Source organism: Homo sapiens, chromosome 9, assembly GCF_000001405.40.
Source record: "Homo sapiens chromosome 9, GRCh38.p14 Primary Assembly".
In the NCBI taxonomy this organism is placed as follows: Eukaryota; Metazoa; Chordata; class Mammalia; order Primates; family Hominidae; genus Homo; species Homo sapiens.
In genome coordinates, this window is record NC_000009.12 from 64,621,196 (window position 1) to 64,648,250 (window position 27,055).

Sequence of the window (27,055 nt, forward strand, 5' to 3'; positions counted from 1 at the left end):
CTCAAAGTATTTCCAAAGCCAGCCCCCCACCAGTCAGCTACAGTCCTTTCACCAAAACTGCCCTTCCTTCCCCCTTGCCTGAAAATCCCTCATTCTGTTTCTGTCATTCTTTCATCTTACCTTGTTCCTACTGAGGGCGCAGGTCAGCTCTTCCCCATTCTCCCCCTGGGGCACCCCAGTTCCCAGGGCATGAAAGACTTGAGGTGCCTCACCTCTACACCTTGGGCTAAGACATAGCCCTAGAGCTCCTGGAAGAACCCAGGAGGGAAGCCCAACCACAGGAGGCCCCCAGGAAGTGGGGGTACTGCTGTGGGACAAGCTTCTCTTTATTGGGGAAGGGATGGGATCACAAATAATCTCTGCTTAGAAGTGCTCTACGGCCATGGATTCATGTAAGGGTGGGGCAGGGTGGACTGAAGATCTGTTGGCAGGGCTCACGGAGATGAGGGTAAGGGGAGAGATCATGGGTTCATGAGATCCCATCTTGGGCAATACGGTTATTCCGTGGTCTTCATATGCCACAGAGTCCTCCAATTTCAGGGGCTCCCGTGGGATGGTGGAGCCAATGAAGACCAGGTAGATGATGCCACCTAGAGAGGCACCCAGAAGTGGTGCCACCACTGGCACCCACCACAAGTTCTCCCCATCGCTGCAGGCAAGAGGCAGAGGCCGGCTGAGGGGGCTGATGCCCAGGACAGCACCCTCATCCACCTCGGGCCAAGACTGGTTGAGCAGAGGAGTCATCCTCAGGCTAACCCAGGAAACACCCCCAACCCGGGGCCCTGGTCAGCCTCAGCCCGATTCAGGGACAGGGTTGACACTCAGTGCAGGTGCAGGATCTGTATCTGTACTGGCCTGGGGAAATGTTGGGACTCACTCCTGCTCCCCAGGCCACCTGGGGGCTCTGCAGGACCCTCCTGTGCTGCCCCTCACATCACCCCCCACACCTCAACACACAGGGGCCCCACAGAAAATCTCAAAGGAATGGGCCTGGGCAGGGGCAGTACCTGAAGACCAGTTTGCCCCAACCAGCAATGAAGGTGAAGATGCGGGGGGGGCAGGTCCCGGGACGGATTGATGGCATATCCTGTGTTCATGCCATGGTACACCCTGATGATGACCACGAGGATGCCTATCACCAGTGCGTGTGTTCCTGGCAGTGCTGGGTTGTTCTCCTGGTCCACGATGGCGAAGAGACACAGCTGGAGCATCCCGGTCAGCCACTCCTGAGGAGCAGATGCTGTGGAAGCTCACCTGGGCCCCTCCCCAAGCCACAGGACCTCGGCAGTTCCCCAGACCCAAGCCCACCAGCAGAGACACATCTTGGTACAGTCTCCATCCAGAGTTCTTGTCCTGTCTATCCGGAGGGACTCCCTGCTGGCTCCGTCCTGAGGGGTGGAGGGCAGGGGGAGGGGTACTCATCCTGGACCACTGACCTCATTCAGGAAGCCCCGCCACAATGTCATGTGATCAGGAAGGTAGTTGGCAAAAATGCCAGCTGTAGCAACGGGACCGGTCACCATCAGCTCTCCACCCGAAAAGTGGAGAATGGCCGCTGTGGAGACACAGACTATCATGCGAACCTGTCCCCAACTAAGCCCCACCAGGGTCCCGGAAATTAGGTTATAGGTTAGAGGGTGGGAGACCTCCAAGGCTTTTTTCTCCCAGCTATTTTTTACAAATCAGGACACTGAGGTCCAATCTGCCCATATTTCATAGGAGGCAGCTGAGGCCAGAGGCGGACACCCGGGCAGGACGCTCACTGTAGAAGAGACTGTAGATGGTGGCAGCTGCCAGGAAGGAGCCCAGGAACTGCCCCAGCACATAGACTGGAAACTTCCTCCAGGGCACACGGCCCAGTGCACAGTTAGTGAGGCTCACAGCTGCGTTCATGTGGGCTCCTGCGGGCAGCAGGCAAGTGTGTCAGGGAGTGAGAGCAGAACAAACAACAGTGACAAACAGTATGAGAACAACGATGGCTAGTGTGTATGACAGCATGCTCCGTGACAGAGTTCTCTCCTTGAGCCCTCACAACCACCCCGTGAGGCAGGGGCCACCGTCTTCCTTTCACTCTTAAGGAAACTGAGGAACACAGAGGCGATGGCTTGCCTAAGATCACCCAGCCAGTGAAAATGGTAGGTCGGGGGGGCCAGGAAGAATCTGGGGCAGACACGTCATAGGCACGGGGTTCAGAGGAGACTTCCTCCCGCCCGGTGGCCAGGCTGAGGCACTGGCTGTGCTGGCAAAGGAGCTGGCTGAGGCGGGCAGGAAAGAGCCTGTTGGGGACACCTGGTCTTGCCCGGTCCGGCAGGGCCTGGGCTCACTCACCAGAGGTGCGGCCTGCCATGTGCACTCCCATGGTGACTCCGAAGCCAAAACCCAAGTTGACACCAAGGTAGCTCCCAAATGTTTTATTTAGAAGCATATGGGCCACGGAACCAAGGCCGAATACCTACAAGGGAGGGCCTCTAAGGGGGCTGCCTGCCCAGAAACCCCAACCTCAGAGGAGGGCTCAGAGCTCAGTTCTAGCTCCTCACCCCCATGCCCTGGGCCTCCCTGGCGTTGCCTCGAAGACCCTCTGCCATGCCCTCTTCCTCCAGAGCCTTCCCTCCTCACTGCCTCCTCTCCTTGCCCCTGCTGAGGCCTCTCAGACCTGAGCCACTGAGAGCCGGGTGGAGCGGCAGAGTTAGAAGCTCTTACTACAAACATCCAAGCACCTCAGCCCCAGGCCCACCTGAAGTTTTGGGGTGAGGCAGGGCTGCGAGGAGGGGATGGCTGGCATGCATTGCACCCCCTCAGAGTCCCTCACACTTCAGGCTGACCTGAAGGAAGTTTCTTCAAGGGACCTCCAAATCCATCCATGCCTGACTCTGCCAGGAACCCCTCCCTACACACACACACTCCACCGCAATTCCCACAATGCTGGAACAGTGGGGCCCTAACTGTCTTGCCCTCAGCTTCATTTCCACTGACCTCAGGCGGCATTCCCAAGCTGCTGCTTCTTGCCCATCCCTCACGGCTCCTCAGATAATGCTGCCTTCACAGGGGAAGGGGCCTACCTTCAGGCCCATTACCCTCAGTCTAGAGCCACTGTTCCCTTCAGCCCTGGCTCCTGTGCTATCCTCTCCCTCTGCAGAGGCCTCCGTCTCCCCCATACCTTCCATCCTCCCATTGATCGGTTCCCACACACTGGAGTCTCATCCTTCCCAGCAAACTGTCCCACCCCTGCCCAGTGTCCTTCTCCAGCTGTGGGTTCCTGGTTGCCCCCTCCCTGTTTCAGTCAGGCTGCAGGAGAGAACACACTGGCCAGCTGCTTCACCCCTTCCCTCGCACCCCCTCCTCAATCTGGCTTCCATTTCCACATGTCACAGACACCAAAGCTCTCTCCAAGGGCTCCAGCAACCTCCTGATTTTCCAAAGGTCTTTTCAGGCATGGTTTTACCACGTAGACAGTCTCAGCTATGCCTGATGCGCTGAAATTCCCGTCATCTCCGTGGGGGAGCCAGATGCCTATTTGCAAATCCCCACTGCAACTCTCCTGGTGTTCCACGGACGTCTCAGGCTCTGTTGAAGGTTCGCCATCTCACAGCACACCTGCTCCTCACTCTATGTTCCCCATCCCCGTTGGCCGAGCCAGAAACTCAGATGTTGCAAATGATAGTTAAGCACTATTATTCTCCCCCACTTGACAGATGGGTAATCTGAAGCTTAGAGAACTTGAATGGCTTGTCCAAGGTCACACAGCCTGTACATGGTGAGCCAGGATTAAATCCAGGCAGTTACCTGTGCCAGATGGCCTCAAACCAAACAACTGCGCTGCTCCATGCATGCCTTGCTTTCTTGTGCCTCTGTTTTATTTGTTTGTTTGTTTGATGCTTGAGATAGGGTTTTGCTCTATCACCCAGGCTGGAGTGCAGTGCCATGATCAGGGCTCATTGCAGCCTCCATCTCCTGGGCTCAAGTGATACTCCCACCTCAGCCTCTCAAGTAGTTGGGACTATGGGCATGTGCCTCGACACGCAGCCAATTTTTTTTTTTTTTTTTTTGAGACAGTCTTGCTCTGTCGCCCAAGCCGGAGTGCAATGGCGCAATCTCGGCTCACTGCAACCTCCAACTCCCGGGTTCAAGTGATTCTCCTGCCTTAGCCTCCCGAGTAGTTGAGATTATAGGTGCATGCCACCATGCCCAACTATTTTTTTGTATTTTTAGTAGAGACAGGGTTTCACGATGTTGGCCAGACTGGTCTCAAACACCTGACCTCAGATGATCAGCCTGCCTTGGCCTCCCAAAGTGCTGGGATTACAGGCATGAGCCATTGAGCCCTATCCCAGCTAAGTTTTTCAATTTATTTTGTGTAGAGATGAGGTTTCACTATGTTGCCCGGGCTGGTCTCGAGCTCCTGGCCTTAAGCAATCCTCTCACCTCAGCCTCCCAGAGTGCTGGGATTACAGGTGTGAGCCACCATGCCTGGCCAGAATATCCTAATAATTTTACATTGATTGCATCTTGAAATAGGATTTTGGCTATATGGGTTAATTATTAAAATTAATTTCACCTGTTGCTTTTTACCTTTTTAATGTGGATACTAGAAAAAATTAAATTATACAGATGGCTTGTATTGTATTTCCCCTGGAGAACTCTGTTCTAGAGTTGATAAAGGAGAAAACCTGAAGAATTGTAGACATAAGGGCCAAAGTCAAAGCCGACAGAGGAGAAGGCCCCAGGAGAGGGTACAAGGTAAGAAGGCAGACCAGGCCAGGTGCGGTGGCTCATGCCTGTAATCCCAGCACTTTGGAAGGCCGAGGTGGATGGATCACTTTAGGTCAGGAGTTCAAGACCAGCATGACAAAACCCCGTCTCTACTAATAATACAAAAATTAGCCAGGCGTGGTGGTGCTTGCCTGTAATCCCGGCTACTCAGGAGGCTGAGACAGGAGAATTGCTTGAACCCAGGAGGTGGAGCTTGCAGTGATCTGAGATCACACCACTGCACTCCAGCCTGGGCGACAGAGCAAGACTCCATCTCAAAAAAAGAAAAAAAAAAGAGTTGAAAGGCACCAGTGTAGACTCCTCTTTGAGAATTCGCCTGAGGAGCGGGGAAGAGAGAACATGATCCCGTGAAGGGGCTGACAGGGTGAAGGGAGGGATGTTTCATTTTGTGTTGTTTTCAGTGGAGAAACTTCAGTATGTTTATAGGCTGAGAGAGGGATGGGCTGAAGATAAAGGACAGAGAAAAAGGACAGAGTAAAGTACCTGAATAGGCTGGACAGCTGGATTGGTGCAGAAGTGGAGGTGTCCTCCAGGAAGGAGAGGACCCCACCCCAGCCAAGGGGTGATATGTGGATACACGGGTGGTTAATGGGTCTGGTGGTAAGAGGGACAAGAGGGTGAGCTGAACATAGGAAGTGTTGATTATTTTACCTATCAAGCAGCAGATCAAGCCATTTGCTGATTTAAAAAAAAAAAAGAGTACAGAGCAGCTTTGGGGAAGTCTGAGAAAATGTGAAATAGCCCAGATATGGTGGGGGAGAGGCAGCTGAGCAGGGCCCACTGGGTCCCTCAGAAGCCCCAGGACAGGAGCAGGGGAGCCCAGAGCTAGGCTGGCTTCAGATCCAGGATAAGATACAGCAGGAGAGGACAGGAACAGATGGGGGTGCAGGGGGGAGTGAGGTCAGGACAGGTTGACAGGCTGGCAGGGTCAAGAGGTAGAGGGACTGGAGGAGGCATGGAGGGTCTGAAAACAGAGGGGCCCCCATGGCCTTTCCCGCATTCCAATACCATGTGCTAAAAATACTGGATGAGCATAGGCCGGGTGTGGTGGCTCACGCCTGTAATCCCAGCACTTTGGGAGACCGAGGCAGGCCGATCATGAGGTCAGGAGTTTGAGACCTGCTTAGCCAACATGGTGAAACCCCGTCTCTACTAAAGATACAAAAAATTAGCCAGGTGTGGTGGCACATGCCTGTAATCCCAGCTACTCGGCAGGCTGAGGCAGGAGAATCACTTGAACCCGGGAGGCAGAGCAGTGAGCTGAGATCACACCACTGCACTCCAGCCTGGGCAACAGGGTGAGACTCTGTCTCAAAAAAATAAAATAAATAAAATAAAATACTGGGTGAGTGAATGAACCCCACATGATTCCTTGTGTCAGGGTTGCCAACTGGCAACTCATGCACCTAATTCATCCAGCGCACAGATTTTGTTTAGATAACTTGGTTTTGAAGAACAGAAGTTTTCGTCTCTCTTGAAAAATGAGCAGCTCAAGCAACACTGGCCTGCATTCCACCCTCCATGGCAACAGTCAGCTGGAGTGGCAGCAGCTCTACAGCCTTGCACAGATTGGCACTCTGCAGCCAGCCAAAGTCCCCACCGCCCTGAGTTGCCGCTCTCTTGGCCCCCGTAGCATGTGATCTACAACCCTTGCCCCGTGTCTCATGTGTATGGCTGGTTTTCCAGGGCCCGGATGGCTCCAGCCCCTCCTCTCCCTGATCAGTGAATGTGGCCCAGCCCATCCAACTCTCCCCCACAGCCAGGAGGCCAGCTCCAAGGGCAACACACCTGGAAGCTGCAACACGGATCAGTCCACTTCCCTTGTCCTGGCTGCAATAAATGGGGCCAAGGTCACACTAGCTTTTTTGGCAAAACTTCACCCTGGTGACTCACTGAGATTCCTATATATATATTTACAAAAAAAAAAAAAAAGCCCTCACTTCTTGGCACAGCCTGGCAACTAAAAATAACAACACCACAATATCCGATATAGGCTTACGCCTCACAAAGTTCTTTTACAAGTGCTACTGTCTTCAATCCTCACAACAAATCTGCACAGCAAGAATTTTTCTCCCACTCTATAAATGGGGAAACTGAGGCCGAGAGAGGCATCTTGAACTACCTGAAAGTGAGGACTTTACCCTGGCTGGGGGAGCATTAACAAGCCAGTCTTTAAAAGCTGGCAATATTTAAGCTAAGGTACAGAGCATAGAGGTTAAGGGTCAAGACTGTGATATTGGGCTGGGCACGGTGACTCATGCCTGTAATCCCAGCACTTTGGGAGGCCGAGGTGGGAGGATCACTTGAAGTCAGGAGTTCAAGACCAGCCTTGACAACTTGGTGAAACCTTGTCTTTCCTAAAAATACAAAAATTGGCTGGGCATGGTGGCATGCACCTGTAATTCCAGCTACTCCAGAGGCTGAGATGCAAGAATCGCTTGAACCCAGGAGGTAGAGGTTGCAGTGAGCCGAGATTGCACCACTGTGACAAAGCAAGACTGTATCTCAAAAAAACAAAAACAAAAACAAAAAAGACTGTGATATTAGACTGCACTGGATTTAATCTTGACTTAAAGTGTGACCTTGGGCAAAAGGCTTAGTCTCAAGGAGCCTCAGTTTTCCCATCTGTGAAACTGGGATAATAATAGTACCTACTTCACAGGGCTATTGCGAGGATTTGGGAAGATGCTGCACGTAAGGGGCTTAGCATCACAGAGCCCGGGATGCATTAGGTGCTCAATGAAAATCTCAACAAAAGGAAGAGGAACACAGATGTGGGCAGGTATCAAGCATGTGGGCGGTGCCTATTTCCCTAACAGCTCTCAGAGGATGCACCCTCCTGCCTCCGAGGCTCCAAGGGTTAACAGCCCTCATGGGGCTGGAATGTCTTGTGGTAAGTGAATTACTTTGCCCTGGATTAAGGAGGGACAGGATCCAACTGCTGTCCTCACAGCTCAGGAGCCAAAGCAGGTGGAGAGGTAAGAGAGGAGTAGGGGAGGGCCAGAGACAGAGAGGAGACAGCAGCTAGAGCACCCGTCCTAATAACAAGGGACCAATACATGGGTACCACACTGGGTGCTGAGACTTGGCCTTCTTCACACAAGTCCTCCTGTTAACCAATAAGGAAGCTAAAGTTGTGGGCCGGGAGAGGTGACTCACGCCAGCAATCCCAGCACTTTGGGAGGCCGAGGCAGGAAGGTCACCTGAATTCGGGAGTTCGAGACCAGTCTGGCCAACATGGTGAAACCCCATCTCTACTAAAAATAGAAAAATTAGCTGAGCACAGTGGCACATGCCTGTAGTCCCAGCTACTCAAGAGGCTGAGGCAAGAGAGTCACTTGAGTATGGGAGGTGGGGGCTGCAGTGAGCTGAGATCGTACCACTGCACTCCATCCTAGGAGACAGAGTGAGACCCTGTCTCAAAAACAAGAAAGCTAAATTTGTGAACAGTTAAGATACTTGTGGATAGTCGCACAGCTAGAAGATAACAGAGCTAGGATTCAAACACAGCTCCAAAGCCCACGAAGGCCTAATTCTACACGATATAAGTGAGAAGTCAGGCTTTAAGCCAGGGAGAGACCTGCCCAAGGCAACTGGTCACTCAGTGGCAGGGTCAGGCTAAGAAACCTGGTGTTCCAATTTCCTCTCTCCCTTGAGCTCCATGGGCCCCACCACACACACGAACAGCCTCTGTCACCCCACCTTCCTCTAGCATGCACCTGGCTGCCTTTGCCTCCCTTCCCAGAGGCTGCCCCTTCTTTCTCTAGACCCTGGACCCTGCATAAGATGCAATAAACATGGCTACAGTCATGTTAAGGGCAGAGGCTCACTGGGGTAAGTGGCAGGGCTGAAGCAGGTGGAGAGGGAGCAACCTCACATCCCACCTGCAGTCTGGATTCTGTCCCAATCACACACTAAAGAAGAGCCCTTGTCAAGGTTACCAGCAACCTCCACATTGGCAAACCCTAAGGCCCCTTGCCAGTGCTCACCTTGCGTGGCCCATCTGCCGCTGCCCATGCCGCTGATGGCTTCTTCCTGGTGGAACCACTGCCCCCCTCTGTCATGCAGTCGGCTCTGGTTCTCCTCCCACCTCTCTGACCATTCCTTCTCAGGCTCCTTTGCGTGCCCCTCTTCATTCCTCAGGGCTCTGTCCTCAAACCATCCTTTTCTCTTTCTGTACACTCCTTCTAGACAGTGTTGACAACCACCACCTGTGTTGTGATGAACTTCAACTTTTTCCTTCCAGACCAAGCCTCTCCTGAGCTCCAGCCCCTTGCCTGTGTTTAACTATCTCCTGGATTTCCCTACAGGCATCTTGCCTCTCACCCTGTGCTGGGCCCCGTGCTCCAGAACAGCTCATCGGCGCTTTGCCCACATGTTCTTCTGGCAGAGTCTCCCCGATTCCATCTTCCACAGCCCTCTCAAACATGTGCTTTCTTCTCCAACCCCAGATCAGTCATCACCCTCTCTCTGTCCCAGATCAAAAACAGCCTCTTAACTGGTTCCTTCTTGCCAGCCTTGCCTGTCCTGCTTATGCTCCACACTGCACCCAAAATTACCTTTAAAATCCAAATCTGATCATGTCACTCCCCTGCTTGCCAGCCTTCAACATCGCCCATTGCCCTCTGGATTCATTATCAGAGCCTGATCATCAAGTTTCTCTTCAATCTCTCTCTCTTTTTTCTTTTTTTTTTTTTTTTTTGAGACAGAGTTTTGCTCCTGTCACCCAGGCTGGAGTGCAATGGTGTGATCTCAGCTCACTGCAACCTCCACCTCCTGGGCTCAAGCGATTCTCCTGCCTCAGCCTCCTGAATAACTGAGGTTACAGGTGTCCGCCACCATGCCCAGCTAATTTTTGTATTTTTAGTAGAGACGGGGTTTCACCATGTTGGCCAGGCTGGTTTCGAACTCCTGACCTCAGGTGATCCACTTGCCTAAGCCTCCCAAAGTGCTGGAATTACAGGCATGAGCCACTGCACCTGGGCCTCTTCAATCTCTTTACTCTGGGTTTCCCTTCTCCCCATTTCCAGCCTTGCCCCGGATACCCCAGTGCATGGTTTCATTTGACCCCCACATATTATGAGCCCTTTCTGTCCAAAAAGACTTGATGAGAAAGCCCCCCCCCCCTTACTTTCCTCGCTGCTTCCCCAGGCTCCCAGCTCAGAGGCAAGGAATGGACAATGTGACCCATGGGGTCAGAATGGGGAGGGGGTCATGGAAGGCCCTGGCAGAGCCCACCCACTTCGTGCTGCCCGCCCACTCACCATCATGACATATGTGCTCATGAACTCGGCCAGGAACTCTCGCGCCATCTTCCTCTCATCTTCCTCGCATCATATTTCCTGGATCTTTGCTATCACGGACCAGGAGACCATTTTGGAGCCACGGGTGGACCTGATACAGTGGCCCGAGCTCATGGACAGAAAGGAGACTCAAGTCTGCCTGCTGCCCATCGGCTCTTCAACTCACAGCTGAGTTAATAGGTAACCCAGCAGACTTGCCACACACACCTCCTCTTGCCCGGGGCAGCTGGGACAGCTGGAATTGGAGACACTTGAGAGCCATGGGGACATGGAGAGGAACTGGGGTAGATGGCCAAGCCATGCCCCTTGTAGTTGGGACTGGACCAGTAAAAATGGCACACCAATGAGGCCACTTTGCAGACGGACAGGTGGGGAGCTGAAAGTGCAATCCACGGTGCCAACAAGCCTCTGGGAAAAAGTAGGGTGGGAGAGAGCAGGCTGGAAAGTAGAGCTCAGTAGTCTATGTCTGTCCATCTGTCTGTCTGCCTATCTGCTAGAGCCAGAACTTTGGGGTCACAGGCCAGGGCCTGGCAACAGTGAGGCACTCTACAAACAGCATGAAGTGTGACAAAGTCTGCTGCCGAGCTCTGTAAACAGCACTGAGCACTGAAACATGTGCCAGGTTCTGTCAAAAATGAAGGGGTCAGCAAAATGCACCAGGCTGTGCAACCAGGTCAGTACAAACAGAGGTTTGTGAGAGAGTGAGTGAATGAATGAATGAATGACCAAGAGAGCGGGAGGGAGAAAAGGAAGGACTGGATCTACTTCCTGGTGTATCTTCAGTGCCCAGCACCATGCCAGGCACATAGTAGATGTGCAATAAGTATTTGTTGAATGGGTGAAAACTGGGGAATCTGTCTTACTCCCAACTAGATCCTCAGAGCTTGCCAAAGGGCCTGGCACTTGATTTGTATTTAGTTAAGTGCACGGTTAGATGGAAAGGTAGATGAAACAGGTGAGTAACAGGTTCCAAATCTGCGTATAGGGAGAGGTATAGGACTGGAGTTTGGGGAAGGTGGCGGGGTGGGACTGGAGGATAAAGAGGAAGAAGAGGGGCTGGGCCCGGTAGCTCACACCTATAATCCCAGCACTTTGGGAGGCCAAGGTGGGCAGATCACCTGAGGTCAGGAGTTCGAGACCAGCCTGACCAACATAGAGAAACCCTATCTCTACTAAAAAATACAAAATTAGCCAGGCATGGTGGCGCATGCCTGTAATCCCAGCTACTTCGGAGGCTGAGGCAGGAGAATCACTTGAACATGGGAGATGGAGGTTGTGGTGAGCCGAGATCTTGCCACTGCACTCCAGCCTGGGCAACAAGTGCGAGACTCCATCTCAAAAAAAAAAAAAAAAAAAAAAAAGAGGAAGAAGAGGGATACAGATACCTCTAAGTGTGGCCTTAGTCACTCTGCTATCTCACTGTCTGCATGCCCGGAAGCTGACACCAGCCCCTCAACTCCTCTGGCCAGCCCATCCTTGCATATCACGTACTGCCTTAGCTGCAGGCCTTTGCACATGCCAGTCCTACACCGAGAATGGTCCCCTGCCTCCCCAGAGGCTCCTTTACCCGCCAGCCTTCTTTTCTTGACCTAAATTTCCCTTTCTCTGGGAGAGCCTCCTACCCTCTCCTCTAGGCCATTCACTTCTTCCACATGCCCCACGGTGCCCACTCTTTCAGCTGGGGCAATGCTCATCACACTGCATAGTAATTGCTCAGTTAGGCCAGGCACAGTGTCTCACGCCTGTAATCCCAGCACTTGCTGAGGCGAGCTGATCGCTTGAGCCCAGGAGTTCAAGACCAGCCTGGGCAGTATGACAAAACCTCATCTCTACAAAAAAAAAAAAATACAAAAATTAGTCAGGTGTTGTGGTGTACGCCTGTGGTCCCAGCTAATGGGGAGGCTGATGTGAGAGGATTGCCTGAGCCCAGAAGGCAGAGGTTGCAGTGAGCTGAGATCACACCACTGCACTCCAGCGTGGGTGACAGAGCGACACCCTGTCTCAAAAAAGAAAAAAAAAAAAAGCTTAATTAATTAACGGTTTTTCTTCCTAAGGGCTGGGATCATACCAGTTTGCTTCACTGCAGTGCCTGAACATAGTAGGCATAGTAGATTCAATAAATCTTTGGTTCCTTGGCTGGTTGTTGCCTGCTCTGTGCTGATGAGAAAGGAGCCAGGCTTCCAGGATTCCCTTGGTGTTCTTGGCTCCCTGCTCTGTCTACCTCTCCCCTGCCTCTATGGTACCTTCCCAGGACTGTCTTTGGGCTGCTGCTTGCATTGATAGGGTCTCTTCTTCAGGGCTGAGGAGGCTGGTCATGGGATAATGAGACCCCTATACGATGCTGCATGGGAGCTGGAGTTGGATGGGGGCCAGTGGAATATCCGCGCAACTCTGCATCCCCCTCCATCTACTCATCCCTGGTTTTGTTTCTCTGGAGTAAGGAATAGAGCAAGGACTGGGATGGGTGAGCCATGAACAGAGGGTCTCAGCTGAAAAGTGGAAGATGTTTTATTCCATGCCTGGACGTCTCTCATTCCCTCTGCTTACTTTTTGCTGCTGTGAGGTCAGGGGAATTTAGGAGCCCTGAGGAATGCTGCTGCTCTCCCTAGCAGGGCGAGGTGACCCTCCACTGGCTCCCATCCAACCCCACCTCCCATGCTGGAGGTAACCACAGAAGAGGAGAGAGAAGTGGACAGAGCGGAAAGACAAGAACACCAAGAGAATCCTGGAAGCCTGGCTCCTTCCTCATCACCACACAGCAGGCAAGACACAGTAAGCAACAGATAACCACCAACCAGCCAATGAACTCAAGATTTCTTGAATCTACTGTGCCTAGAATGTTCAGTCACTGCAGTAAAGGACACTGGTACAATCCAGCCTGTGGGAAGAAAAGCAATCAATTGAGCAATTACTATGCAGTGTGATGAGCATTGCCCCAGCTGAAAGAGTGGGCACTGTGGGGCATGTGGAGGAAGTGAATGGCCTAGAGGAGGGGGTAGGAGGCTCCCAGAGAAAGGGAAATTCAGGTCAAGAAAAGAAGGCTGGAGGGTAAAGGAGCCTCCAGGGAGGCAGGGATCACTCTGGGCGTAGGACCGGCATGTGCAAAGGCCTGCAGCTAAGGCAGTATCCAATGTGCAGGAATGGGCTGGCCACGGAGGAGTGGAGGTGGCATGAGATGGGCAGAGAGGGGCCAGGGCCAGGTGGCAGAAGGCCTCATGGCCCACATTAGGGAGTCTGAACTCTACCAGAGGGCCATGGGCCAAGTGGAGGGTTTCAGCAGGAGAGCTGCCTCCCCTGTGGAGGCCAGGATGGAGGAAGTGGAGTGGAGGCAGGGTGAGCATCAGCTTCTCCACAGATGGGTGGAGAAGTGGTGGCAGTCTGAGCCACAAGGATGGCAGTGCCAATGGCCACAAGAACACAGTCAAGCTGACAGGCTTGGTGTTCGGTTAGAGAGGGAAGGGAGCGGGGCAGCTCAGCGATGCCCTCAGGTCCTGGCTAGGGCAGCGGAATGACTAGCGTGGGGCACAGCAGAGAAGCTGTGGAAGAATGGACAAGGAGGCCCTTTCTGGACATGTTGAGTGTGAGGAGCCTGCTAGACACTTGGGTGGGATGGCCAGTGAGGAGGCAGCTGGTCATGTGGTCTCACTTACAGACACATTTGGAGGACAGCAAATCACAGATGGTCATCTGAGCCATGGGCATAGATGAGAGAGCTCAAGGAGAGGGTACAGACTAAGAAGAGGGGCCCAAGAAAGCCAGCCTACAAAGCAAGAAACTGACAGCCAACTAGATCCCCTAAGTAATCTGTTAACCAAGGAACTAAATAGCTAACAACTCACTAACGCCTGTTTCTTTTCTTTTTCTTTTTCTTTTTTTTTTTTTGAGACAGGGTCTCACTCTGTCGCCCAGGCTGAAGTGCAGTGGCACAGTCACAGCTCACTGAAGCCTAGACTTCCCAGGGTTCAAGTGATCCTCCCACCTCAGCCTCCCAAGTAGTTGGGACTACAGGAGCATGCCACCATGACCGGCTATTTTTTCCTATTTTTTGTAGAGATGGGGTTTTGCCATGTTACCCAAGCTGGTCCCAAACTCCTGGACTCAAGCAATCCTCCAGCCTCAGCCTCCCAAGGTGCAGGGATTTCAGGCATGAGCCAACATGCCCGGTGGCTTATTAACCCTTTGACTAACCTATCAAAAACCAACTAACTGATTCTCCTGTTAACCAGCTATTAACTCATTGAATTATCTAATCAACCAGTCAACCATAAACTATCCAACTAACCACGAGCCAACAATTCAACCTGCTAACCAACATTTCTTCATTCAACAAACATTTGTTGGCCAGGCATGGTGACTCATGCCTGTAATCCCAACACTTCAGGAGGCCGAGGCAGGTGGATCACTTGAGGTCAGAAGTTCAAGACCAGCCTGGCCAACATGGCAGAACCCCATTTCCACTAAAAATAAAAAAAAAATTAGCTGGGCGTGGTGGCAGGCACCTGTAATCCCAGCTGGGGTGGGGGCTGAGATGTGAGAATCGCTTGAGCCCAAGAAGCAGAAGTTGCAGTGAGCCGAGATCATGCCACTGCACTCCAGCATGGGCAACAGAACAAGACTCCATCTCAAAAAAAGAAAAAATTTTTGTTGAGCACCTACTTATGAGTCAAGCACCAGGGATACAAAGTCAAAACCCACTCTCCACTCTTGGGTCACTCTGTTTAATAGAAGAGATGGGTAATGGCAACACCACCAGAGAGAAGCAGCCTGGGACTGGGGGAACTCAGGGGAGGCATGGGAGGTGAGGCCTGAAGGGAGTTTTGAAGAATGGGCGGGTGGTGGCCTGACATGGCCATGGAGGAGTAGGGTGGTGGTAGAAAGAATGGTGGAAGCTGTGCACATTCTAGATATTTTAGGAGATTGGTGACTGGATGTGAGGCATGGGGAAGAGGGAAGTATCAAGGACATGACCTTGACTTCTGGCTTGAGCAACTGAAGAGAAGGGGACCCCTGACTGAGCCAAGAGCACAGGAGGAGTGGACTTGTGGGGGGCGGAGGAGGCTGTTTCCATCTAGGAGCTGAGTTGCCTGTGAGACACCAGTGGGTCTCTAGAAACAGGATCTAAAGCCCTGGAAAGAGACGTAGGCTAGAGGCAATGATGTCAACAGAGGGGCACTATTCATTCTCTCCGTCCAAGTGTACAACAGGCAAATATCCCTGCTTGCGTGGAGCTGACAGCAATGAAATGTAATAAGTAAGTACATTTGTATAAGCGAAGGTACCAGCTCCTATGGGAAAAAACAGAGCAAGGAGAGGGGAATTGGGAGTGCAGGGGCTGGAGATGGGGTGTGATTTCAAATAGGGCAGTCAGAGTAATCCTTGTTGAGAAGGTGGCCTTGGAGCAAAGCCATGAAGGAGATGAGAGTGGGCTGTATGTTAACTGCAGAAAGCCTCTCAGATGGAGGGAATAGTCACCAGAGGACTCTCAGCATGTTTGAAGAAAGCAAAGAAAGTCAGTGTGAGGCCAGGTGCAGTGGCTCACACCTGTAATCCCAACCTTTTGGGAGGCCGAGGTGGGTGGATCACCTGAGGTCAGGAGCTCAAGAACAGCCTGGCGAACATGGCGAAACCCCATTTCTACTAAAAATACAAAAAAAACAAACAAACAAACAAACAACTAATTAGCTGGGCATGGTAGTGTGTGCCTGTAATCCTGTAATCCCAGCTACTCAGGAGGCTGAAGCAAGAGAATCGCTTGAACCCGGGAGAAGGAGGTTGCAGTGAACCAAGATCTTGCCATTGCACTCCAGCCTGGGCAACAGAACTGGATTCCATCTCAAAAAAAAAGAAAAGAAAAGAAAAAAAAAACCAGAAAAGAAACTCAGTGTGGCTGGAGGAGGGAGAGCAGGGGGCTGGAGTGGGGAGGCCAGAAAGCTAACAAGGACTACATAGGCAGGGCCTTGGCCATTGCAAGGACTGGCTCTTTTTCACCCCAAAGACAGCTGAGCCTGAGAGGGTGAGAGGTGCTGAGTGCAGTTGAGTTGAAGGCCACCTGCATGCCTTGACCCTCATCCAAGTATTTCTGAGCCTCCCCTCACCCCAGGACCCAGCCCAGGCAACAGGTGGAAGATGCTTTTCTTCTGGGACCTCAGAGGCGAGTGGGTGGGTGGGGAGGAGGAGGTCGAGGGGGGACAGCTGCCCCAAGGGAGAGGCTGAGGATGGAGCAGGGAGGGCACTGAAGTGGGCTGGGTGGAGGACAGGGGGCTGGAGGGTGAGAAGAGGGTGGGGTACTTACCGCCTGTGCCCAGATGCTTGAACCATGTTTTGTCCTTCAGATTTGTAGATGCTGAGGAGCCAAAGAGAGGTCACTAGGGCTGGAGGACACAGAACTTGGCCCCACACTTCCATCAGATCTTTGTCCCCAGGGGAGAAGCCCTGGGGCAGCTCCTGCTAGTGCCACTCCCTTAACCCAGCCAAGGAACAGGGAGGGAGGAGCGGTGCTCAGCCAATGAGGCGACGCCCTGGAGCCCCACCCCACCCATGCTGGCCCCAGGACCCCAACCCCAGGCCAGACCCTCCAGTGCTCCTGCTGACCTTCCCTGTCTGCAGCCCAGCTTTGGACTGTGGAGATGCCCTCAGCCTCTACTCAGTGGCTCCAGCCTCATATTTGCGTGCTATACCTTTAACCTCAAGTTCTCTTGCTGCTAACTTAAGCTGTGACTGTCCAGGACCTGCACACACACATACATGCACGCATGCACACACACACACACACACACACACACACACACACAGAAGGTGAACACACAGGATGAGGCCCTGAAAACTCATTTCACCCGTGTACCTCACCCAAAAATTCCCCTTTGTACTCCTATCTTTATCTCTAACTGACAGCATGAAGGTAGCCCGAAGTCCCCTCACCCTGTCTGTCCTCCTGATTCTCTAGCCCAGTTCCCTCTAGCTCCAGCACAGACTCTTATCTCCAGCCCTGACTGCTGAAACCCTCCAGCCCCAGCTCCAGCCCCTCAGGAGGGGACTGCGTGGGAGGAATGACTCCAGCAAGCCGGCAGCTGACCCGTCTCTGGCCTGCATGCCTCCCCCTGTGGTCCACTGCCGGTGGTCTTCAGCTCTCTCCTCGTCCCACCCCCATGGTCTGCTGACAGCCCAGCCCAGTGCATCCCTGCCATCTCTGCTCTACCGCTGGTCCTCCCAACAACCAACTTACAGGTAAGGAAACTGAGGCCCAGAGAGAAGGTGTATGTGCCTGTGTCACACAGCAACACAGGACTGCACCATAACAAGAAAGCCGGGACTTCCACTCCCAGCCGGGGCTCCTTCCCCAAACAATCCCTCAGTCACCTCCTCGCTGTATGGTACCCAGGGAATGGCCCTTCCAGATCTGGGCACTGAGGAGGCTGCCCCATCCCCACCCTGCCTGGAGCCCCACTCACTCTGCTGAAATGTCTTCTGATTCTCAGCCTCTGCCTTGGGGGCTTCTCAGTTAAAGCGCATCTTGATCTTGTCCCTCTGTGACTGTCCCTGGCTCAGCTTCCACCCCCAGCTGGGGCTCAGCTATCCCTGTGTCCCCAGTCCAGAGCCTGCCTCTCAGCCCTCCCAGGGCGGCCTTGAGCGCTGCTCCTGCTCCTCCAGGGGAGAGGTCAGTAAGGCAGGGATTTGGCTGGTGCCACTTGAACCAAGTCCAGATGCACTGCCCAAAATAACATCCCTCGTCTGGCCAGCAGTGCAGTGGAGACCGAGTTCTGAAGCAGGCCTTTGTGAGGTCAGAGGTGGAGTTCTGGGTGGGCACTCTGGGCCTCACAGTCCCAGAGGAAAGGCCTGTCCTCCAAGCCAATGTGCAGCCTGACTCTGGGGCCAGCGCCTGAGGAAGCCCTCCCTGAGCCCCAGCCCTGGGGAAGGCTGAAGAGGCCTCTGAGCTCCCAGCGCTGGGGAGCGCTGTGCAGAATAGGACTGGAGGTGAAAGTGTTGGAGATTAACAGCCAGATGGAGGGGACGGGGGGAGGCCCTGGGTCAGTCCTCAGGGAACCCCCATTCTGAAGGGGGAGAGGGAAACTCAGGCCCAGTCCTCAGGGGCCCCCAGTCTGAGAGGAAGGAGGACACACGAGCCATATTTGCAGAGAAACACCAGCCTGCGAGAGGAGGTAGAAGCCCAGGCCTGGCCCTCCGAGGGCCCCTAGTCTGAGGAGCAGTCCACCTGCCCTCGGGAAAACACCTCCCTTAGGAAAGGCCAGCAAGGCCCCCGTAAAGGAGCCACAGCTGGATCGGGGCATGGGGCTCGGGGCCCAGCGGCGTGGGAGCTCCGGGACCGAGGTGCAGTCAGGAGAGACCCTGGGGGCCAGTGGCAGTCCAAGAGGACTTTTGGAGCCAAGGCCTGACTGGGTCTCAAACAATGGGGCAGGCAGTTTGGGGTTTCAGCAGGTGGCCCGGTGCTGAGACACAAGGGAGTTGTTTCTGGTCTGCAGACACTGAGGACACTTGCTATGTGGCGTGGTGGATGGTGGGTAAGTCCTGGGAATTTCTGGCACCAGGTTCCCTGGGTGGGAAGGGGCATAGGATTCAGTTGTCCAAAGCTCAGGTGTGGGAATGGAACTGTCCTGTAGAGGGTGCCAAAGACCAGGTCTGGAAACTGCATAGCCCCAGTCCCCACCCCCACACACACCATCCCACCCCTTCCAGCTTTTTCTGCAGATCTTTCTGCAGGGGTGAGGCAGGGAGAGGAAGGGGTCGGCCGCAGTTCTGGGGCTTCCTAGTCAGAAGCCCTCTGTAAGGCACTAACTTCCCTCTTCCCTCTGCAGATTTTTTTTTTTTTTTGAGACGGAGTCCTACTCCACCCAGGCTGGAGTGCAGTGGCACAATCTTGTCTCACCACAGTCTCTGCCTCCCAGTTCAAGTGATTCTCCTGCCTCAGCCTCCCAAGTAGCTCGGATTACAGGCATGCACCACCAAGCCCAGCTAGTTTTTTTGGATTTTTAGTAAAGACGGGGTGTCACCATATTGATCAGGCTGGTTTCGAACTCCTGACCTCAGGTAATCCACCCGCCTCGGCCTCCCAAAGTACTGGGATTATAGGTGTGAGCCACTGTGCCCGGCCTCCCTCTGCAGATTCTACATGGGCTCTAAGCAGCCTCTAAATTGCCTGAACACCTAAGGCTTATTTGCTAGTTGACATCTGATCTATTCTGACACTGAAAATTTCAGTGCTTTAGGGTGCTAAAAGGAAAAAAGAGGGTTTGCAAGGAATCCTGCAGTTGCTGAGGGGGTACCCTGATAAGGGAATTTTAAGCAATTACAGTAAGTGTCACTAAACTTTTTAAAAAATCTTTAACCAGATTAAACTTACACAATTTTGTTATAATTTGTGTTTCTGCAGCTTCCAATTGTGGACAAGATAAGGACCATTGCCCAGGCTGTCTATGGAGCCAAAGATATCGAACTCTGTCCTGAGGCACAAGTCAAAATAGATCGTTACACTCAGCAGGTAAAAGTTGTACTTTTAGGGGAAAAGAAAAAATTCACCTTAGGCTCTCAGAATACTCAGCTTGACTTGAGGATTTGTACATGTCTCACCAGCTAACCTTTGCTTAATCTATTTTCTGGTTAACAAAGATGAAAGCAATATCCTCGGGTAGAGTGTAAACTATATTTAGAACTTTATGGTGAGGCATGTATCCTCTGATCCATGCATCATTTACTTCTGTGACTATAAATGTGTCTGATATGGGTGGTATCCCTGTTTGTAGGTGATGTGTGATCTTTCATCCCTCCCACTCAGCCCAGAACGTTGAAACTATCCTTTGGAGTAGAGCTGCGGAGTCAGATTTGCATGAATTGCAATGCTTCCTCTTCCTTACAGGCCTCTTACTACCTTAAAAATGCTAGCAAGGTGCCAGGGTAGGCAGATAGGAGTGCAGCCTATAAAGATGGGAATGTTTGCTGTTCTTATGCAAACGGTTCATTGGCTTTTTACTGAGCTGGTCCACTGAGGTTGAAGGCTCCATCATCTTCTACCTCTAGCCACTGAGAAAGGCAAGTAGGCAAACAGCTGGGAAGGTGGCTACGATCTGACAGCATGTGTCATCACCTAGTCCAGTGACATTCATGATGAATCAACTCCATTATAGGAGGCTCAGCCACCTTTTACCAAAAGGATCATGTGCCTCCAGTGTCCCTCCTACTTTGGTGTAATCAGATAGATAGAAGTCAGAACATTTTAAGAGCCTGTTGGCTAAAGAGCTTCATGATTGGTAGTGTTGACCTTATCTTTAAAAACAATCTCCAACTCCTTATTCTTTTCTGTAAACCCATTTGAAATTTTGTTAAATGCTACCATTGCCAGCCAGGGTATTTGTTCTCCTAGGTTTGGTAAAATAGGAACTCAGAAAGTTCTAAATTCTTAGAATTTTCCCTGATGTTCTTGGCTTACCCTTTACAAAAAGGATTCCCAAGCACTGCTCTGTGCCTAGGCATTGTGGTGAAGTTTTCATTCATGTGCAATGAACCAAGTAAAATAAGGTCATTCTCATGAGGTTGCTTTGTTTTTTATTCCCCGAGTTTTTAATAATGATATTTAAGACTATCATTTATTGTAATATTAAGTCTTTTCTCCTTTCAGTGTTAAAATGTTATTTCTTTTATGAAGTAATCTGGTGACAGTATATAGCATACTGGTTGGTTTCTGTTTCTTTTTAATATGCCTACTAACAAAATTTTTACATTAGCAAACCTATAGAAATTACTTTAATATTTAACCATGTCTGAAATTCAAAATTCTGGCACCATTCTGAAAGGCAGTTGTGATTCTCACTCAGCAAAATTCTTATCAGTATAGAAGAGTGGAGATTTCAAAAAGAAAATGGCCCCAAGCCCAAGTCCTCCCTAAGTTGATAAGACTCTAAGATCTTCCAAATAGTTTTAGGCTAAGTCTTATGAAAATTTGACTAAAGATTTCATTCCCTTTATCTCTATCAAGGAAATACTCCTTAAAAGTCGTGTCAACCAGGCACGGTGCTCACACCTGTAATCCCAGCACTTTGTGGGGGCAAGGCAGAGGATCAGTTGAAGCCAGGAGTTGAGACCACTCTGAGCAACATAGCAAAACCTCCATCTCTATTTTTATTTTTTTTAAAGTTAGTGCCAAGTATGTGGTTGCAATGAATTAGCAAAGCCTCTAAAGGAACACTGTGTGCCATTTAATCAGAAACAGGCTTATAGGACACTGTGCTTTTTGTGAGACACCACATGTGACTTCCTGCTCTTTCACCTTTGGAACTCTGGGTCAGACATAGACTTTTGTCCTTAAAAACAAGAAGCTTAAATAGTGACCTCATCTTAGCTCTTGTAATGTAGTTGCAGATCAAATAACCATGATTCATAAACCAACACAAAGGAACCCTTTGCTTCTTGACTGACTCCAGAATGAGTGAACAACATGACTAAGAGCCTAGTCGCAGAGCCTTTCTCCAGACTACCTTGCTGGGTCCCGGATATTAATAGTCTTGGAAAGCGGTTTCTACAGCTGCTGCTTTGCCTGCAAATAGCAATGCTTTTCCCAAACATGCACATAACACTGCCTTCTCTTAACGAGAACCTCCAAAATAAACAATAGTCACCCCTGACCTACTAAACAGTCATCACATGGAGATGAGTTTTTATCCTCACCTTCTTGCTTCTTCAGTGAACAAGTAGTAACAAGCAGCTCCTGCGTGTGCCTCGATCTGAGCTGGCATACCATTGCTGCCGAGACTGTATAAAGTGCAAATTGAAAAACACAGGAGACTCACGTCTATATCAGTGAACACATTTTCTTTCCTTTCTTACAGGGTTTTGGAAATTTGCCCATCTGCATGGCAAAGACCGATCTTTCTCTGTCTCACCAACCTGACAAAAAAGGTGTGCCAAGGGACTTCATCTTACCTATCAGTGATGTCCGGGCCAGCATAGGTGCTGGGTTCATTTACCCTTTGGTCGGAACGGTGAGTGAGTCACATTTTCCAAAATCCCTCCCCATTCTGCATTGTCGCAGTGCCTCAAATCGTTATGCTCCACCCGCTCTTTAAAAATCATGGATTAGGGAGAATTGGGAGTAATTAATAGTACAGTATTCGCTATTTTTCTAAACACTCTGTCTCACCTACCTTTGCCATTGTGCTTTGGGTTTTTCTTTTTTTAGATCATGTGTTCAGGATCCTTAGAGTCATAATACTAATTTCCTTCCTAAGGCAAGTAAGAACATAACTTGGGAGAATTCAGTCTATTTAAATGGTAGAATGGCTTAGGACAGTGGTTGTCAACCTTTGTCACACATAGCACCCAAAATGATGTAATCAGTAGGGTTGAATGCTCACACCAGACAGGATCTGCCCAGTCACCCTAAGGGCTGGGGAAAGCAGTCCTCACCCTCTCACTTCCCCAGCACATCAGGTGGGAAGTTCTGGCTTAGGAAATTACTGAATCATATGAATTCTCATTTTTGATGTTGTTGTGATGGGATTACGTTGCTATTGGTTGATTATTCTGTTATTTTGTGTTATCTATGGAGGTAAAGGAGATGAGCAGAGATATAAAAGCTTATCAAAGTGCTTAAAATCCATGAAGATTGGCTTCATTTGGTATAGCTACACAGTGATAGCCTTCCGTTGGTACCATCAGTGGCCTAAATTTGATTTCTTGTCTTTGGGAGTGCTCCTGAATTTGGTTTAGAATAAAAAAGAATTCTTAAAACCTGGCAGATCCCATGGCAAGAAAAGAAAAAAAATTCTAACCCATCATTATCATCATCATTAGTGCAAAGTGATCTGAGCTTAAACAGCATACATTATAATAATTTTTTATAATAAACCATGTGGCTCTATTGTGCAAACAAGCAATAGACAGACAAAAAGTGCAGATTCTTGCCTTGATATTTACATGCTTCATCTAATATTGGACACAATGTTTTTTCAATCAGCATCATTTGAATTCTTCCTGCATGTGAGGCACAGAGATTTTAAGATGAGCAGGTGTGAGATGCATGGATTTGAATAGCATAGAGGTATCTGGAGAGCATTGTGTTGGTATTCTGAATACCCTCAGATCCCAGGGGGATAACAGCTCATTATGCCTGGGGTAGAACTTACCTGGGCTGTGGAAGAAGAGGGGATTCTTCAAAAAGGGCTCAACCTCTGAACTGGCAAAACAGTGAGTTTTGACTCAAAGGCACCAGAGTACTAATACATGACATCCTCTCCTGGGGTGATCCAATGTGGCTGGAGTTGGATGAGGTGGGGAGGCTGGGGATGGGAATGGGAATGGGATTGGGATAGCAGGACGGGGTCACATGGCCAAGGATCTTGAAGACCATCTCACGGAACTTGAATCTGATCTCTACACACTGAGGAGCCACGGTAGGGTGGGTTTTTTGTTTGTTTCTTGGTTTTTTATTTTTTTGATTTTTTGTTTTTAAAGAAGGAGGAGAAGAATGTGGTCTGATGTGTATTTTAGAAAAATAGCTCTGGCAGCAATGTGGAGAATGTTTAGTGAAAAGAGAACCAGGCCCAGAGAGGTGGGTTAATTCAGCTGGGGCCAGAGGAAATCAAGGTCCGCACTTTGGCCACAGAAGTAGATACAGAGAGTGGGGGGTGAATTGCAGACATACTCTAAAAGTATCCTCCTACAGTAGGGGCCGGGTGAAGGGACTGTTCTAGCTTGGTGACTGGCTGGTGATGCCATCACCGTGTCATGGAAAGGACATGGGAGGAGGCAGATTGGCCAAGCCAGAAATGAGCCTGGCTTGAAGAGAGAGAGCTCAGAGGGTTAATAGGATCTAAGGAACAGTCTGTGTCTCCACTGGAAATACAGATACAGCTCTCCAAAGAAAGGGGCAGGAAGGTCGCCCTGGTGGGTTTAAGGATATGGGTGAAGGCACTCATTAAACAAGAGACACAGGGATAGCTGGAAATCAGTGAGAAGAGAGTAAAGGAAGACACCCCTGAAACACCCACTTTAATGCAGCCGACTCCTGGCAGGGGTGCCTTCCAGAAGGCAGGAAGGAAGGAGCAGGGGCATGGCAGAGAACGTCCAGAAAAATCCCACAGACACCGCTCACAGCAATGTTGACACAGAGAGAAGGGTCCAGATGAAATGGGTTCTGAATGACATTTTCAGGTCTACAGTTCAGATCAGCAGTTGCCAGGAGCTGGGGGAGGGAAGTGTTTGACTGCAGAGGGGCAGGAGGGAACTTTTTGGGATAATGGAAATATCCTATGTTTTGACATGGTAGTGATTCCATGGCTATATACATTCTTCCAGACTCATAGACCTATACACGTGTGTTGCCCAGGCTGGACTCAAACTCCTGATCTCAAGCAATCCTCCCACCTCAGCTTCCCAAGTTGCTGTGACTATAGGTTCGTGCCACTGTGCTGGGCCTGTGTATCATTTAGTTATACCTCAGTTAACAAAAATGGGTAGTGAAGAGCTTGCTGTATATTCCTTAGAATGGCCTCAGTCAGCCGGGTGCAGTGGCTCATGCCTGTAATCCCAGCACTTTGGGAGGCCAAGGTGGGGGGATCACAAGGTCAGGAGTTTGAGACCTGCCTGGCCAAAAGGGTGAAACCCCATCTCTACTAAAAATACAAAAATTTGCTGGGCATGGTGGCGGGCACCTATAATCCCAGCTACTTGGGAGGCTGAGGCAGGAGAATTGCTTGAACCTGGGAGGCAGAGGTTGCAGTAAGCCAAGACTGCACCATTGTGCTTCAGCCCGGGTGACAGAGCAAGACTCCATCTCTAAATACATACATACATACATACATAGAATGGCCTCAGTGATGGCCACTTTACTCCTGAGCTTTAGTTGGCAAAGGCCTTGGCTTAGGGATAAGAGGGTGGCTGGACAGTGCAGGCCCAGAGAGACTGGACCATCAGGGGAAGTGAGGGGTGATGGAGGTGCCCAAACAGAGCATGAAATGGTAGAGTAGATGAGAAGGTTAGCCTCGATCACGATCTGTCCTGTCCTACCCTCTGCGGACTCTAAACCCCGCAGCAGTTCACCCAACAAATTCATGCACTCGGCCAATGCTGCATAAGGCACTCAGCTCGGGGCTACAGGAAGCCCCAACCTAAAGAAACTTTCTCTGCTTCAGGTAGTTTACAGCTGGTAGAAGCAGATAGAAGTGAATTAGCAAAGAAAATAGTTTGATATAAAAATTGTGCATTTAACTGCAACCTTAATTCACTTCTGAGCATTTAATAGCCATTAAACAAAAACCAGGGCCCACACAGTGGTTCACACTTACAATCCAAGCACTTTTGGAAGCCAAGGTAGAAGGATTGCTTCAGGCCAGGAGTTCAAGACCAGCCTGGGCAACATAGCCAGACTGTATCTCTACTTAAACCAAAATTAGCCAGGAGTCATGGTACACACCTGGAGTCCCAGCTACTCAAGAGGCTGAAATGGGAGGATTACTTGAGCCCAGGAATTTGAGGCTACACTGACCTATGATCATATCATTGCACTCCAGCCTGGGAGATAGAGTGAGACCTCTGTCTCTAAAAAAATGGAATAAAATAATAAAAAACACAATATAATTTAAAATCTTTGGAGTCACTAAACAAATATACAATGTGAATCTCCTCCCACTCCAGCTAACACTACCATATCCAACACCAGGTAAAGACCAAAGCCGTTCTGGGAAATCAGAATCTGTTGCCATGGCTCATGCCTGGACACCAGGCTGTCCGCTCCTGATGTCACTCTTTGACTTATGACTTGTTAGAAAATGAATGCGTGGAATGGCCCTGGAGGAGCCGCTGCAGCTCTCTGGGTTTCCTGAAGTGAGCCCTCTGTGTCATTATCTGGTCTTCTCAGCCCTCAGCCGAGTTCCTCCTGTGGCCACATGTGGGGTCGCAGTGAGCATCAGTGCACAGTGATAAAATCTGGAACAATAGGGTGTTGGGTGTGAGGGAAGGGAGTGGTGCCTGACTACAGAAGTTCCTGGAGGTCAGGAAACTCTCACTGGAGGCAGTGGCCCTAGAGGGCTGCTTTCTATGACAGAGCAGGAAGCTGCATGTGTACTGGGACACATGCAGCAGAGGGGCCAGGATCTCCTAATAAGGACTGGTATTTACTTTTACTTGAACCCATTCTGGGCCTTACCACAGTGTGCTGAAATGCCTTGAACATTCATCACCCATGTGGGAGAAAGGATAGTAATTTCCTGCTGAGATGACTGAGGGGACAGGGAATGGGGACACCAGGGGGACTGGCTCCTGCAGGTTGGAAAATTCTAGCAAAACGAATCACTCTTCTGCTTAGTCACCCAATGTGCGCTTATTAGAGTGCTGCTGAAAAACATATTCGTCTATCCACTCCAGAAAGATAGTCCAAACTGAGACCTCAAGATCAGAAAGGCTCCCAATCTCCTGCAGGGTTCATTCATTTACTCAGTGAATTATTAAATGCCTACAGCACGCAGGGCCATCAGCCCAACGGCTATGAGAAAGAGATTCAGTCCTTTCCTCACAGGCCTTATGATAGACTCCAGTAAATAAAACAATACAGGCACAGAATGTGGCAGGCTTTATAAGAAAGCCTCTCTTGTTGTGTCCTCAAGGGAAGCAGAGAATCTCCCCTCTGGCTCTAGTTGGAGAATCCCAACCCAAGCAAGTCCATCTTTGAACAATAAACATCTCCAGTACTGCTGGCTTTGGAAGACCCCATGGTGAGATGCTGGAGCTTTTTTCCGCTCCTGATTTCACTTTCTAAATATTTACTTTTACTTTCCATGTTCACTTGTAGGCCAGATTTTTTTTTCCTACCATTGAATTATTTCATCATGTTCTATTTAATTATTGTCTTAATTGGCATTGGTGACGACAAATAATAATAAATACTATTAACTGATGTAACAGCTTCACTAGTCTATTTAACTTCCCCATGCTGTTGTAACTGAAGCACCCAGCACAAGCATTCCCAGCTCGTGGACGTC

At 50.4% G+C, this 27,055-nt stretch overlaps 2 pseudogenes across 1 annotated transcript in view; one reads left to right on the forward strand and one right to left on the reverse strand.

Moving 5' to 3' along the window:
- Positions 309-17,832, reverse strand: AQP7P2 (aquaporin 7 pseudogene 2; annotated as a pseudogene).
- Positions 18,539-27,055, forward strand: part of LOC101929583 (methylenetetrahydrofolate dehydrogenase (NADP+ dependent) 1 like pseudogene) — a 60,728-nt pseudogene continuing 52,211 nt past the window's right edge. The window contains exons 1-3 of the transcript NR_136299.1: positions 18,539-18,589; positions 19,459-19,566; positions 21,908-22,060. The product of NR_136299.1 is annotated as a methylenetetrahydrofolate dehydrogenase (NADP+ dependent) 1 like pseudogene (transcript). The remainder of the gene's footprint in view (positions 18,590-19,458; positions 19,567-21,907; positions 22,061-27,055) is intronic.